We start from the raw sequence: 14,031 nt of genomic DNA, 5'->3' as shown, positions 1-14,031 counted from the left end.
ACCCGAGACCCAGAGCGCCATCCAAGCCCCATTATCCGGCTTCAGCGCTCCGTGCGTCCGGCCCAGGTAACAACTTCCCCAAAAACCGAAAGAGAAAAGCGCGAGGCGCACGCACACCGGCCCATCCCGGCGCAGAGACCTCGTCTGCCCCGGGAGGGGGATCTGTCTGTGGTGCTTCCCGGTCTCTAAGCCCAGGTAACAACTCCGCAAACACACCCGCCGCCCAGCTCGCCCCCATCCGCGCGGCTCCCGGCGGCGTTAAGTGGGTACCTTTCCTGCCTTGTTCCCCGCGCCGCCCCGCCGCGCCCCGCCAAACGTGGACCCCACTCGCGGGGCTCGCCGCGGAGTCCCCAGGCCGGGGCTCTGGGCCGGGCAGCGGGAGGCGCCAGGGAGGAGGGGCGCTTAGGGACCCGCGCCCCCGCGCCTCTAATCCCCGTTACGCGAGCGCGCCCGGCCCGCGGGTCCCAACTTTACCGCCGCCGGCCGAACCCTGTCCGCCCGCGGCGCGCACAGCCGGCGCCCGCGCACACGCGCGCACAAACCCCACGCAACCCGCGGCCGCCCCGTCCCGCCGCCGCCGCAGCCCGCCTGCCGCGCGCCCACAGCCCGGCCCGAGTCGCGGGGCCCGAGCGACAGCGACGGCGCCGGCCGGGGCCGCGGCGCGCGGAAGCCACTTTGCACGGTCAGCGCCGGGCACAAGTTTGTTCCGCGGCTCCCGGGGGCCTGGGCGCTGAGGGAGAATCGCGCTGAGGGGGCCAGGAGGAGGGGGAGAGGGAGGCGCCGAAGGGCACAAGAGTGGGGAAAAGTGCGGAAAGAAGCAACAGCCGCTCCACCCGGGACCAGAAAAGTGGCCAGTGCGTCCCGGCCGCCCGCCCTGCGCCGGGGATGCGGCGGCGTCGGCGCCGGCTAACGGTCCAGGGAGGCGGCAGGGGCGGCGGGAGCCGCTAGGCGGAGAGAGACCAGGTAAGAGACATAACGGTTCAGGGAGAGCGAGCGGCCGCGGCGCGGCTCCGGCAGCGGCGGCAGCGGAGGGGGGCAGAGAGCACTACTTTCTACTTTCCCACTCCACTTTGCCGTCCCTGCCCCGGCTGCCCCCAGCCCGGCTCGCCCCCCTCACCCCCGGGGGCGCCCCGGCTGCCCAGCTCCCCCTGACTCCGCCGCTCCCCGGTCCCCTCCGCCACTCACCGTTATTGCGCCGCGGGTTCGCCTGCTTTCTGCGCTTACACCTGGGGCCATCCGCCATGATCCTCTCGCTTGTGTCTAAATGCTCGAGTCACCTCCTCCCCCTCCCTCCCCCTTCCCCCCCACCCCTCCGCCTCCACCCCTCCCCCCTCCCCACCGCACCTGGTTTACGACACTCCCGGCTTTACGACATCACCTTCCTTACACCTAGAGGCTCTCGCTCTACGGCCGGAACCTTGTTGCTAGGGACCGGGCGGTTTGCGGCAACCGTGGGCACTGCTGAATTTGAATTGAGGGGCGAGGGAAAAGTTTTCCTCAGGTGTGGTGGGGAGAGGGAGGCGGATGCCGGGAAACCGTAGGGACGCGGTCAGAAAGGCGACGGGCTGTCGGAGTTGGAAAGGTAAAGTTGGAGGCTCGGCGGCGTCCTGCCTCCGCGCTGGCCACACCCGCCGCGGCTGCCCGGGGCAGGGAGGGATCTGGCTGATTCTCCCTGTACCCTGTGCCCTCGGAGCTGCCCCTCCGAGCGCCCAGAGGTCCCCGCCTGCCTGCTTCCTGGAGGCAGGGCTACCATCAGTCCCACGCCTCGCGTGTCCGCCCCCCGCACCCCGGGGCCAAGGAAAGGGATCGCGGTCTGGACTCCCCGGGGAGTTCCCTTGATGAGGGGAAGGGCAGGTTTGGGGACGGCGAGGACACGCGGCGACCGGAGAGAGGCTACCTGACCCGCGCAGCCCGGACTCCCTTCCCTTCCCTTCCAGGGACGCCTGGTTTCCCCCCAAGCGAACCGGGATGGGAAGTGACTTCAATGAGATTGAACTTCAGCTGGATTGAAAGAGAGGCTAGAAGTTCCGCTTGCCAGCAGCCTCCTTAGTAGAGCGGAATGAGTAATACCCACACGGTGCTTGTCTCACTTCCCCATCCGCACCCGGCCCTCACCTGCTGTCACCTCGGCCTCCCACACCCGGTCCGCGCTCCCCGCCCTCTTCCTCGCGTAGAACCGTGGGATCCTAGGTGGCAGGACTCAGAGCTAAGGTATCCACAGGCCATGAATTCCTTCCTAAATGAGCGGTCATCGCCGTGCAGGACCTTAAGGCAAGAAGCATCGGCTGACAGATGTGATCTCTGAACCTGATAGATTGCTGATTTTATCTTATTTTATCCTTGACTTGGTACAAGTTTTGGGATTTCTGAAAAGACCATACAGATAACCACAAATATCAAGAAAGTCGTCTTCAGTATTAAGTAGAATTTAGATTTAGGTTTCCTTCCTGCTTCCCACCTCCTTCGAATAAGGAAACGTCTTTGGGACCAACTTTATGGAATAAATAAGCTGAGCTGTATTTCAAGTAATATAGTTATAAATTAACAATGTAGCAGTTATTGATAGAGAAATTGAGAAAACTGAAACGTGACCGGAGTATTGGAAATAACGTAGTACATCACCTAGCACAATGACACATAGTAGGTGCTCAATAAATTTATGCTTATAATTTTTGTCACTTCTATGGCAGGATTTTTTTATTAGGTTAAAATTATCTTTTAAACACCTTCCGGAATTTTAGAATATTCATTAATAATGTCTTCAAACCTTTCAACTGAAATAAATTTACAGCTGAAGTCTGATGATTTAAAGTTAGAAAGTTTAATCTTGAATATAAATGAACATTTTCTCTCCCACATTTTCTTGGGCATTTTGAGAAGTAAATGCGTTATTTATTGGTCCATGAAATGTGACTGTAAATATTCTTTGCTATACATTATGTCTATATATCTGCATTCATCCTCAATGCCAAAACTAGAATCATTAGTCTTAATGATCATTTTAAGTACAGGCAGTCCTCGCTTTCCTTGATACCATGTTAACCGAAACTTGTGTATGTCAACACGGTGTCCTTGCTTTGCTTGGTTAAGTGTGAGTTCTTCCTCCCTTTTTTTAAGAGTTGTACAATGTTTTTCAGTCGCCTACCGAATCAGGTCATAGACTATGGAATTGACCCCACCCCACCAACATTTTTACAGCTACCCTGATTTCTGACCAGAAAGGAAAAAAAAACTTTCCAGCTCTATCACACATTTTACCTACTCTTAAACTTAGGAGGTATTACAAATAGCATTTTCTCATGTTCTCTTTCTGGCCTGTACCTCCCTGCTAAGCTTCCTTCAGTGTTCATCCTCACCTCATAGAGAGATGAAGTGAAGAGACAAACAGAAGTCATTTTCTTCCTTACTTTAGTGGTTTCTGGTTTAGTTAGTTTGGGCCAAACTGTGGACAAGTACCTTTTCAGGTAACTTTTTTTTCTTATTTCTATGTCCTCAACACCTAGTGGAGTACGTAGCCAATAGTAGATGCTTAATAAACATTTCTTAAATTAATATTGTTGACCTTTTCTGACCCTGTTCTTGACAGTAAGGTACATAATCTGCCTTCATCCCTTTAGTCCTTAGGAACAGATAAAGTCATGGATATGAAAGTGATCACTGTCATTAATATCCACATTAAAATTGCTCTTGATTTTAGTTTCTCCATAATCATTTTCCCTAAACAATGAACTCTGTTCACCTTTTTTTTTAAAATATGCACAGTGAATATTACTGGTAGCCCAAATCTTCTAACATAAAATTTCCATTTTGTAAAAGCTTCTGATAAGCATATATGTTATGAATTGAATGTTTGATTATTATACTTTAATATTCTTGAAAATATTGATACCTGGACTGGAAAGAAAACAGACAAAAGTAAATCTCAGAATAAATTACTGCTTTAAACATGATGCATGTGTGACGGTTGCTTCTTATCTCTTAAATACAGCTAAAGAATAGGGGAAAAATCTTTAGAATCAATTTATAAAAGAAGATTATTAAAATTTAGGTTTATTCAAATCAAACGGTAGGGGATACTAATATATGACTTTAACATGTATCCTGCATTCTTGGTTTTAGTAATTGTAGTGCTGTCATACAGCATACATTCAATATATATGCTTATTTTTAATATGTCAATGAAATGTTAACACACTGCTTCTACTGAGCACTGGGATTATATATGCTGAAGGGAAGATATTCTAAAAATGAATTTCTATACTATTCCAAATTTACAGGGAAAAATGTAAATGGATAGAATAGTTCCAATACTGAGTTTTTTCTATAAATTTTTCATAAACCCTTTGCACCTATTTGCTTTTCATATATGATTCCTGTATAAATTAGGATAAAATTTGACATAAAATTATCTTAAGTTTAAAATGTAGAGATTTCACGGTGTTCCACATGAAGCATATCATTCCCACATACCTCTTCCAAAACACATTGAGAAGTGCAATGTATAATTCTCTAGTCTTCATCAAAATTTAAAGTTCGTTAATTTCATGGAAGGATAGCATGTAAATGCAACTCTTGAATTCAATACCTAATTTTAATCTTAGAGTTTTTGAAGGAAAAAGAATGTGATACATGTTATCCCTCAAAGTACAGAATGTAGAGGTCCCATAAAGCCGCTACTCAATTCTTGTCTCTGACCATGGCTCCTGACCTACAGTAATTCTGGATTTGCAGTTCACCGTGGAACAAAGGAGGGCAATGGTCATTTCACTGTTGCAGTCTCACCAAATTCTGCAGTCATTGAGTCAGGAAGGAAACATGACTACAGGGTGATGCAGAACCCACAGTTGGCCACAGGACCCATGCCAGCCCTTCGAATACAGCCTCCCAGGAGATATCACAGGGACAAATGTTTTCTCCATACTTCCATGTGATTTTTGTTACATAGTTTACCACAGAATGGTTCTTACCCCTCTGGGGAATGAGGCTCCTATTTTTAATGTAAGTCAATGAAATGTTAACACGTGTAGTTTCTTATTTACGAGGTGATTTTTCAGGAACGTGTGTAATACAGAGATAGATATAAATATATGGAGAAAGATGTTTGCAGGATGTCGGTGAATATCCAAAAAGTAAAACTAGTGTTTTCCATGAAGTCACAGTAATTAAAAAGGATTTCTTTCAAAGGCTGCCTCCATAGAAGTTAGATTGTAGTTTCTATTACTAATATTACTTATGAATATGAATAACATTTAATTTTTTCTACACTTAATTATATGTAGGTAACTTGAGAGGAAGCAACACACATATTTTTGATTTAAGTGAATTTTAATTATTTACCATGATATCAGTGGTCTGATAGCTGGTTTCTACTGCTGTTTTTTCTCTTTTGTATCCACGTATTTCTTTTTTCTGTCATCTTGACTTCTTTTAGCAGCTGATTGATTCTGTTACAGAGTATGGCTGTTTCTTTGACCTACAGTGCTGGTGTTCTGTAAACCACAGATCCTCAGTTACAGTCGTTGCCTCTGAACAGAGGCAAGGATTGAACATCCTTGGTGTACATGCATTTAAAATGTTTGCAATCAGTAACAGGTTTTAGATGTTCTACCATTGTATTAAACTTACATGAGAAAGATGGTGATAAATACCCTGTGTCCAATTATATCCACAACTTTAAGATCCCTGGTCACACCCTTCTCATTCTCTTCAGACCTCAGGCCTCTATTTCTTTTCTCTCTCTCTTTATCCTACTTACATAAATAGATCAGACATTGTGCCCCTCCCCCACTGTTTTACTTTGTAATCATTCCCTTCCTCTGTCTTTCTTTGTGCCCGCTCTGTTTGGATCATTTCCCTTTCTCTTTTTGTTTAAAATTTTTTGAATCGTTCCAACTCTGTGAAATGCTTTGCTTTTTCATATTATCCTTGTTATGCTCTGTCCTTCAAAGTCCATTCTCTGCCTTTCCATGCTCTGCGAGGCTGACTTCTGTGGAAGTCACGTCACCCAGGCTTCTTTGCCCTCTGGTTCCTATTTGGTTTCAGCCAATTTGGAGGCTTTGGCAAATGATCAGAGAAAGGAAAAAGAGAGAGGTCAGGATATTTATTCTATTCCCTGCTGCCTGGCTGTGGCTCTAGCTTCGTTCCTCTACCTGAGGTCCCTGGCTCCTGTCCGACACCCTCATCCCATGGCCACAGGTCTTGCCAAGTTCCAGAAACTGCTTCTTCTCTTTGTGTCTTCAGGCCCAGGGTGGTAATGATTGATTGCTTCATCACTCCTTCCTTTAAAACCTGTCCACACCTCTGTAAATAGTCTCTTCATTAAACTCTCTTCAGAGTATCCTTTGAATGTGCTATATGCTTCCGGCCAGGACCCTGAGTAATATGCGTATAGAAATAAAGCATTTTAACCTTATTTCTTACCAACCAATAATTCTGCTATTTCCATTAATTACAATACTAATGTTAAATGTGATATAAATGTCTTATGTCATTTGTTGAACAAGTATATACTCACGTTCCAATGTATGTACTTGCAAAATCTGGCAAACACTATCACGTAGTAATTATTCAATAACCTATTTGTGGAATGATGGCCTCTGCCTTAATCTAAAATCTAGGCGAGACAACTTTTACATATTTAAAACAATGAGAGAAAAAAATCATACCACAATATTAAGATAGAGCTAATTGTCCCTAATATGTTTCTTCCTCTTTTAAAATTATAGAACTGTCCATTTTTATCACACTTGAAATAATTCTTAGCTGGGTGTGGTGGTTCATGCCTATAATCCCAGTGCTTTGGGAAGCCAAGGCAGGAGGATTGCTTAAGGCCGGGTGTTGGAGCCCAGCCTGGGCAACATAGCAGGATTACTCTCTACAAAAAATTTTAAAATTAGCTAAGCATCGTAAAGCGCACCTACAGTTGCAGCTACTCAAGAAGCTGAGGCAGGAGGATGACTTGAGCCCAGGAGTTCAAGGGTGAAGTGAGCTCTGATCACACAACTGCACTTCAGCCAGGGCAACAGAGTGAGACCTGCCTCTAGGAAAAAAAAAATGGTTCTGTTTCTCTTCTTGTATGTATCTAGGTCTCACTATGCTACTTAGTTCTGGCCAAAGAGATGTAAGTGGTGTGCACAACATTGACAAAGATCTTCAAAAACAGATGCTTCACCATCCTTTCCCTTCCTCCTGTGGATTGAAATCCTGCTAGATTTTCTCAACTTGGGCAGAGCTGTCTAGAGCTCCTTAAGTTATGCAGAGCAAAAAGACTGAAGGAGCCTGAGTCCTTGACACTATGGAATACCATTACCAGCCCTGGACTTCCTCCTCCAGATTTCTCTTTCTCTTAGAAAGAAACAAATATACCTCTTGCTTCAGCTGCCATTCTCTTAGGTTTTCTGTCATATGCAGCCAAAGTTAATCCTGTTCCATGTGGGAATGTGTATTTGTTTCCTATTGCTGCTGTTAAAAATTACCACAAACTTAGTGGATTAAAACAACATAAATCGGCCAGGCTCAGTGGCTCACACCTTTAATCCCAGCACTTTGGGAGGCCGAGGTTGGCGGATCGCTTGAGCTCAATAGTTCGAGACCAGCCAGGCAACATGGTGAAACCCTATCTCTACAAAAGGTACAAAAATTAGCTGAGCATGGTGGCACAGGCCTGTAATTCCAGCTACCTGGGAGGCTGAGGTGGGAAGATGACTTGAGCCCAGGAGGTGGAGGCTGCAGTGAGCCATGTTTGCACCACTGCATTCCAGTTTGGGCAACAGAGACCTGTCTCCAAAAAAAAATTGTTTTAATTAAAAGAAAAGTAAATGTATTATCTTACTATTTTGGAAGTGAGAAGTCCAAAGCAGGTCTCACAAGACTCAAATCAAGGTTTTGTCAGAATTGAGTTCCTTCAGAAGGGCCTAGGGGAGACTCCATTTCCTGGCCTGTTTCAGCTTCTAGATGCTGCTCACATTCCTTGGTTTTGAGCCTCTTCCTCCGTCCTCAAAGTCAGCAACATCCAACAGAGTCCTTTGCATCTTGCCAGCTCACTCGTTCCTCTATTCTGCCTCCCTCTTCCAGTTATAAGGGCCTTAGTGACTAAACTGGGCCCACCCAGATAATTCAAAATATCTCTTCATTTAAAGGTCAGCTGATTAGCATGCTTAATTCCATCTACAATGTAAATTCCCCTTTGCCATATAACCAAACCTTTTCCCAGGTTTGGGGGATTAGGACGTGGACATCGTTGGGAGCCACTATTCCACCACTCACAGTATGCAAGTTTTGTATTTCATGATTGAGAAATATGTTTTATTTGTTCATCTTTAATTTGCAGATTTATAGCATTATGCTAATTGGTCATTACTCTGTATATAACATTTACATTGTGCCATGTAGAAGTTTTAATTGTTCATTAGTTCATTTATTCAACTAATATTCTTTTTTTTTTTTTTTGAGACAGAGTCTCCCTCTGTCACCCAGGCTGGAGTGCAGTGGCAGGATCTTGGCTCACTGCAACCTCTGCCTTCCGGGTTCAAGCGATTCTCCTACCTCAGTCTTCTGAGTAGCTGGGATTACAGGCATGCATCACCGTGCTCAGCCAATTTTTTGTATTTTTGGTAGAGACGGGGTTTTACCATATTGGCCCGGCTGGTCTCGAACTCCTGACCTCAGGTGATCCACCCGCCTTGGCCTCTCAAAGTGCTGGAATTACATGTCTAACATTCTTGAGCATATTATATGTGGCAGACACTGCATGGAACTGTAAATGCCTAATATGGTCCCTGACCTCAAGAAGCTTACAGGTTTGTGGGAGAAACATATATTAAAAGGCTGACACAAATGTCAAGGAAATATGGTTTACCTAAGAGAAAGATCTAAACAAACCCAGAGTCAAGGAAATCTTTCTTGGAGAAGTAATAGTGTTGTCAGAAGAGTAGGAGAAGAGAGTATTAAAGGCAGAAGTTACAGCATATGCAGAAATCTCAAAATGAAAGTATAGTGCTTTGTGGTACAAATCCAATAGCATCAAAGCATTGAATAAAATGGGCTCATAGTTCCAGATGAGGCCTCAGAGGTCAGTAAGCAGGAGCCAAGCCGTACAAAGGTGCCAAGGACGTGGGATGTTGCACTGAAAGCACCTGTAGGCCATGAAGGGCCTTGAAGTTAACAGCGTCTACCGTATAGAAGATGTGAATTAGTGTTCTGTGAGGGAAACGAAAAAGTGAGCAGGACAGCATCAAGAGAACTTAACTTTTTAAAAAATTTCAGTTGTTATTTTAGACACAGGGGATACATGTGTAGGTTTGTTATATGGATATATTGCACCCGGGTAGTCGGCATAGTACCTGGTAGGTAGTTTTTCAACCCACACCCCTCCCTCTCTCTAGTAGTCTGCAGTACCTGTTGTTCCCATGTTTATGTCCACGTGTACTCCATGCTTAGCTCCTATTTGTCAGTGAGAACATGTGGTATTTGTATTTTTCTGTCCTTGCATTAATTTTGAATAATCATGTAAGAAGGAATAATTCTGCAAGGAAAAGCAACACAAAAATAAGATGTGACTTTGCAAATTAAGCACACATAAACAATAATATTTGCAGATTATCTTTTTTTTTTTTTTTTTGAGACAGGGTCCTGCTCTGTTGCCCAGGCTGGAGTGCAGTGGTGCGATCATGACTCACTGAAGCCTCGACCTCCTAGGCTTAAGCGATCTTCCCATCTCATCCTCCCAAGTACCTGGGACTACAGGCGTGCACCACCATGCCTGGCTAATTTTTTGTACTTTTTGTAGATACGGGGTTTCGCCATGTTGCCCAGGCTGGTCTAGAACTCCTGGGCTCAAATGATCCTCACACTTTAGCCTCCCAAACTGCTGAGATTACAGGAATGGGCCCCCCTATGCAGCCTAGATTATTTTAACAAGTAGTGCTGCACTGCTGCTAAAAGTTCAGCAATATAAAGCATAATTAATATTTCCCATGTTTACAATATTAATAAAGTTGTTCCAGGTGATACCTTTTTACAGTGGTCTTTCCAGGTCCTAATACTGCCTTAGTACAAGGCATGCCCTCAAAATTATATGATATATGAATTAATATAAAAAAGAGTCCCCAACGTATTTTTTAATACTTGCTATTTTTTCATTATTATATTTACTGCAGCCTAACATATACTAATGTCCTGTCATTCAGATTCTGCATCTTCTAGATTACCTGACATATTTCTGAGAAGGCAAATTAGTTTTCTTTCCCTCGATTTCAGATTACCTCAGCATTTCTCCAGGTGTATCAGAATTCTTGGGGATTAGACAACCACATCCTGGTATGGACTTAGAATACCCAAGAATACCCAGAATAGCTAGTAATTCCCTCACATACATCCGGGTACTTTGTACATATCACTACTGTGGTGTTTATCACTTTTGTTTTTTCATTTTATTTTTATTTTTGTTTGTTTTTGTTTTTAGACAGAGTTTTGCTCTTATTGCCCAGGCTGGAGTGCAATGGCACGATCTCAGCTCACTGCAACGTCTGCCTCCCAGGTTCAAGCGATTCTCCTGCCTCAGCCTCCCGAGTAGCTGGGATTACAGGTGCGTGCCACCATGCCTGGCTAATTTTTGTATTTTTAGTAGAGACGGGGTTTCACCATGTTGGCCAGGCTGGTCTCGAACTCCTGACCTCATGATCCGCCTGCCTCGGCCTCCCAAAGTGCTGGGATTACAGGCGTGAGTCACCGCGCCCAGCCACATTTATCACTTTTACTACTTTTTTTTTTAACATCTGTCTCCTAGTCTGAGCTTTCATTTTTGCATTTCTGATATGGAAAGCATTGTCTGATGGGAAGTACACTCAATAATTGTAGAAAAGAGGGAAAGCTTCTGCAGTTGGTAAAACATTCTGGTCCAGAAGTTTTATGAAGGGCAAATGGGACAGTGTATGTGAAGTGTTTTATGTAGGATCTGGCACATGGTAAACAGTATATGAAAGGTAACAAAAACAGCAAAGCAGACTCTCAGGAAAGATTAGAGTCAGATAGTAAGGGCATAATCCACTAGATTTCTACACAGTGACTTTCTGTTCAAGGCTTAAAGGTAAGATCATTTGTATCCCTAAAAATGTCACTTCAGGCATAGTTGGATTAATTCTAACCTAAAGAGCAAAAAGAAGAGATATTTCACTCATAGGTGGGATTGAACAATGAGAACACTTGGTCACAGGAAGGGGAACATCACACACCGGGGCCTGTTGTGTGGGGTGGGGGAGGGGGGAGGGATAGCATTAGGAGATACACCTAATGTAAATGATGAGTTAATGGGTGCAGCACAGCAACATGGCACATGTATACATATGTAACAAACCTGCACGTTGTGCACATGTACCCTAGAACTTAAAGTAAAATTAAAAAGGAGATATTAACATGCTGTTTGTTTAACATTAGTTGGAATATTATGTTGTCTAGAATAACTGTTAGCTTACATTAGCTCTATTATTTAAGGAACTGTCTACGCGATAAGTAAACTTCCCATTTGAATGGTTCTAGCATAAAGAAAAGACAGATAATTAAGGTGATGGATGTCCCAAGTACACTGATTTGATCTTTACAAATTATATGAATGTATTAAATTATCACATGTTCTTCAAAACTGTGCACATCTATTCTGCATCAATAAAAAATAAGTAAACTTTTTACCTTAGGATAAATTAACAGTATTTGCAATGCAGTTAGATGGCATAGGACTCTTACCATTCTTACACACTTCTTTTTAAAAATACAAGTTGTTGGGCATGGTGGCTCATGCCTGTAATCCCAGCACTTTGGGAAGTCAAGCCAGGAGGATTTCATGAGTCCGGGAGTTTGAGACCAGCCTGGGCAACATAGTGAAACCTTGTCTCTACAAAAAATAAAATTAGCCAGGCATGGTGGTACATACCTGTAGTCCCAGCTACTCGGCAGGCTGAAGCAGGGGGATCCCTTGAACACAGGAGGTCGAGGCTGCAGTGAGCTGAGATTGTGCCGTTGCACTCCAACCTGGACAACAAGTGAGGCCCTGTCTCAAAAAAAAAAAAAAAGTGCAAGTTAAAGACTATAACAGAAATATTAAAACTTAGTCTTGTTTCTTGGTTTGTACCCGTTCAAACTGGTCCAAGCCAAATGATAGGAATTTATAATAAGGATATGAGTTTTTGTTTTTGTTTTTTCACAGACCCTGAGAGTAGACATGTAGGCAGGTCACACAAGTGAAGAATCAGAACATCTTTAGATAGGCAAGCAGCACCCCTCCATTTCTTGCCTCTGAGTCTGTCTGTGCTTCTGTTTTGTTTTCTTTCAGGGCCTACTGCAGTGCATGAAGGTGGTATGGACTCAGAACTCTGAAGTCTGAGGAGACAAATACATGCCCACCATAACAACATCACACAATACCTAGAGTCAAAACAGTTATCCCTATTCCTACCCCCAACTGAGTTATTCAATAAAGCCTGCCTTGTTGAATCTGTTTTCCCATGTATAGTTTATATAGTTACATAACAATTAGTTTTTTCCATATACTTAGGATAACTACATGTAATTTAGTATTCTGCTGTTTTCACTTACATATCACATACATTTTCCTGATACAGGTACATAGTCTTTATATTTGTCATTTTTCACTTGACTGCTATGTTTCTCAAATTGATATACTGTCATTTCCTAAGCCAGTTATATATTGTTGAACATTTAAATTACTCCCTTTTTTGGTTTGTAAATAAACATTGTTATGAAATAGTTTTTGTTTGGTTGGTTTTTGATCATTTCCTGGGAAAGTATTCTCAAAACTGAAATTACTGAATCAGTGGGAGTGAACACAGGTGTGTCTTTTAAAATATTTTATCTCATTGTGGTTTTGATTTGCATTTCTCTGATGGCCAGTGATCATGAGCATTTTTTCATGTGTTTTTTGGCTGCATAAATGTCTTCTTTTGAGAAGTGTCTGTTCATGTCCTCTGTCCACTTTTTGATGGGGTTGTTTGTTTTTTTCTTGTTAATTTGTTTGAGTTCATTGTAGATTCTGGATATTAGCCCTTTGTCAGATGAGTAGGTTGCAAAAATTTTCTCCCATTTTGTAGGTTGCCTGTTCACTCTGATGGTAGTTTCTTTTGCTGTACAGAAGCTCTTTAGTTTAATTAGATCCCATTTGTCAATTTTGGCTTTTGTTGCCATTGCTTTTGGTGTTTTAGACATGAAGTCCTTGCCCATGCCTATGTCCTGAATGGTATTGCCTAGGTTTTCTTCTGGGGTTTTTATGGTTTTAGGTCTAACGTTTAAGTCTTTAATCCATCTTGTATTGATTTTTGTATAAGGTGTAAGGAAGGGATCCAGTTTCAGCTTTCTACATATGGCTAGCCAGTTTTCCCAGCACCATTTATTAAATAGGGAATCCTTTCCCCATTGCTTGTTTTTCTCAGGTTTGTCAAAGATCAGATAGTTGTAGATATGCGGCGTTATTTCTGAGGGCTCTGTTCAGTTCCACTGATCTATGTCTCTGTTTTGGTACCAGTACCATGCTGTTTTGGTTACTGTAGCCTTTTAATACAGTTTGAAGTCAGGTAGTGTGATGCCTCCAGCTTTGTTCTTTTGGCTTAGGATTGACTTGGCAATGCGGGCTCTTTTTTGGTTGCATATGAACTTTAAAGTAGAGAAATGCAAATCAAAACCACAATGAGATACCATCTCACACCAGTTAGAATGGCAGTCATTAAAAAGTCAGGAAACAACAGGTGCTGGAGAGGATGTGGAGAAATAGGAACACTTTTACACTGTTGGTGGGACTGTAAACTAGTTCAACCATTGTGGAAGTCAGTGTGGCGATTCCTCAGGGATCTAGAACTAGAAATACCATTTGACCCAGCCATCCCATTACTGGGTATATACCCAAAGGACTATAAATCATGCTGCTATAAAGACACATGCACACGTATGTTTATTGCAGCACTATTCACAATAGCAAAGACTTGGAACCAACCCAAATGTTGAACAATGATAGACTGGATTAAGAAA

At 43.5% G+C, this 14,031-nt stretch overlaps 1 protein-coding gene and 1 long non-coding RNA gene across 39 annotated transcripts in view, besides 3 other annotated features; one reads left to right on the top strand and one right to left on the bottom strand.

Annotated features, from left to right (window-relative positions):
- The window catches only part of ZEB1 (zinc finger E-box binding homeobox 1), a 211,388-nt gene extending 209,327 nt beyond the window's left edge, over nucleotides 1–2,061 (bottom strand). For 21 of the 33 annotated variants that reach the window (XM_047425684.1, XM_047425689.1, XM_047425685.1 and 18 more), the window contains exon 1: nucleotides 1,186–1,262. Coding sequence is in view for 5 of the 33 variants with exons in the window: in NM_001174096.2 (NP_001167567.1) it covers nucleotides 1,186–1,243 (58 nt within the window). In the remaining 28 variants the exon portion in view is untranslated. Of the gene's footprint in view, nucleotides 1–270; nucleotides 711–1,185; nucleotides 1,263–1,344; nucleotides 1,661–1,897 lie in introns of those variants that run through there. The other 12 variants (XM_047425691.1, NM_001323646.2, NM_001323642.2 and 9 more) reach the window with 3 other exon arrangements.
- On the top strand, nucleotides 31–12,761 carry ZEB1-AS1 (ZEB1 antisense RNA 1). Of its 6 annotated transcripts, NR_148979.1 has the most exons (3): nucleotides 1,383–1,582; nucleotides 10,463–10,585; nucleotides 12,326–12,761. It is a non-coding gene; the product is annotated as a ZEB1 antisense RNA 1 (long non-coding RNA). The 6 variants fall into 6 exon arrangements; NR_148975.1 differs by lacking the exons at nucleotides 1,383–1,582; nucleotides 10,463–10,585; nucleotides 12,326–12,761 and adding exons at nucleotides 31–195; nucleotides 1,938–3,950; NR_148976.1 differs by lacking the exons at nucleotides 1,383–1,582; nucleotides 10,463–10,585; nucleotides 12,326–12,761 and adding exons at nucleotides 597–963; nucleotides 1,938–3,950.
- Nucleotides 688–777: a silencer, noted in NCBI's record as "silent region_2276". NCBI's record gives its function as "represses an Ori minimal core promoter by ATAC-STARR-seq in GM12878 lymphoblastoid cells {active_cell/tissue: GM12878}" and the evidence as "EXISTENCE:reporter gene assay evidence [ECO:0000049][PMID:35858748]".
- Nucleotides 818–1,267: a silencer, noted in NCBI's record as "silent region_2275". NCBI's record gives its function as "represses an Ori minimal core promoter by ATAC-STARR-seq in GM12878 lymphoblastoid cells {active_cell/tissue: GM12878}" and the evidence as "EXISTENCE:reporter gene assay evidence [ECO:0000049][PMID:35858748]".
- Nucleotides 2,008–2,067: a silencer, noted in NCBI's record as "silent region_2274". NCBI's record gives its function as "represses an Ori minimal core promoter by ATAC-STARR-seq in GM12878 lymphoblastoid cells {active_cell/tissue: GM12878}" and the evidence as "EXISTENCE:reporter gene assay evidence [ECO:0000049][PMID:35858748]".
- Nucleotides 12,762–14,031: the final 1,270 nt, after the last annotated feature.

Source organism: Homo sapiens, chromosome 10 (genome assembly GCF_000001405.40).
Source record: "Homo sapiens chromosome 10, GRCh38.p14 Primary Assembly".
In the NCBI taxonomy this organism is placed as follows: domain Eukaryota; kingdom Metazoa; phylum Chordata; class Mammalia; order Primates; family Hominidae; genus Homo; species Homo sapiens.
The sequence above is the reverse complement of the archived record's forward strand: the minus strand, read 5'-3'. Positions and strand labels throughout refer to the sequence as shown.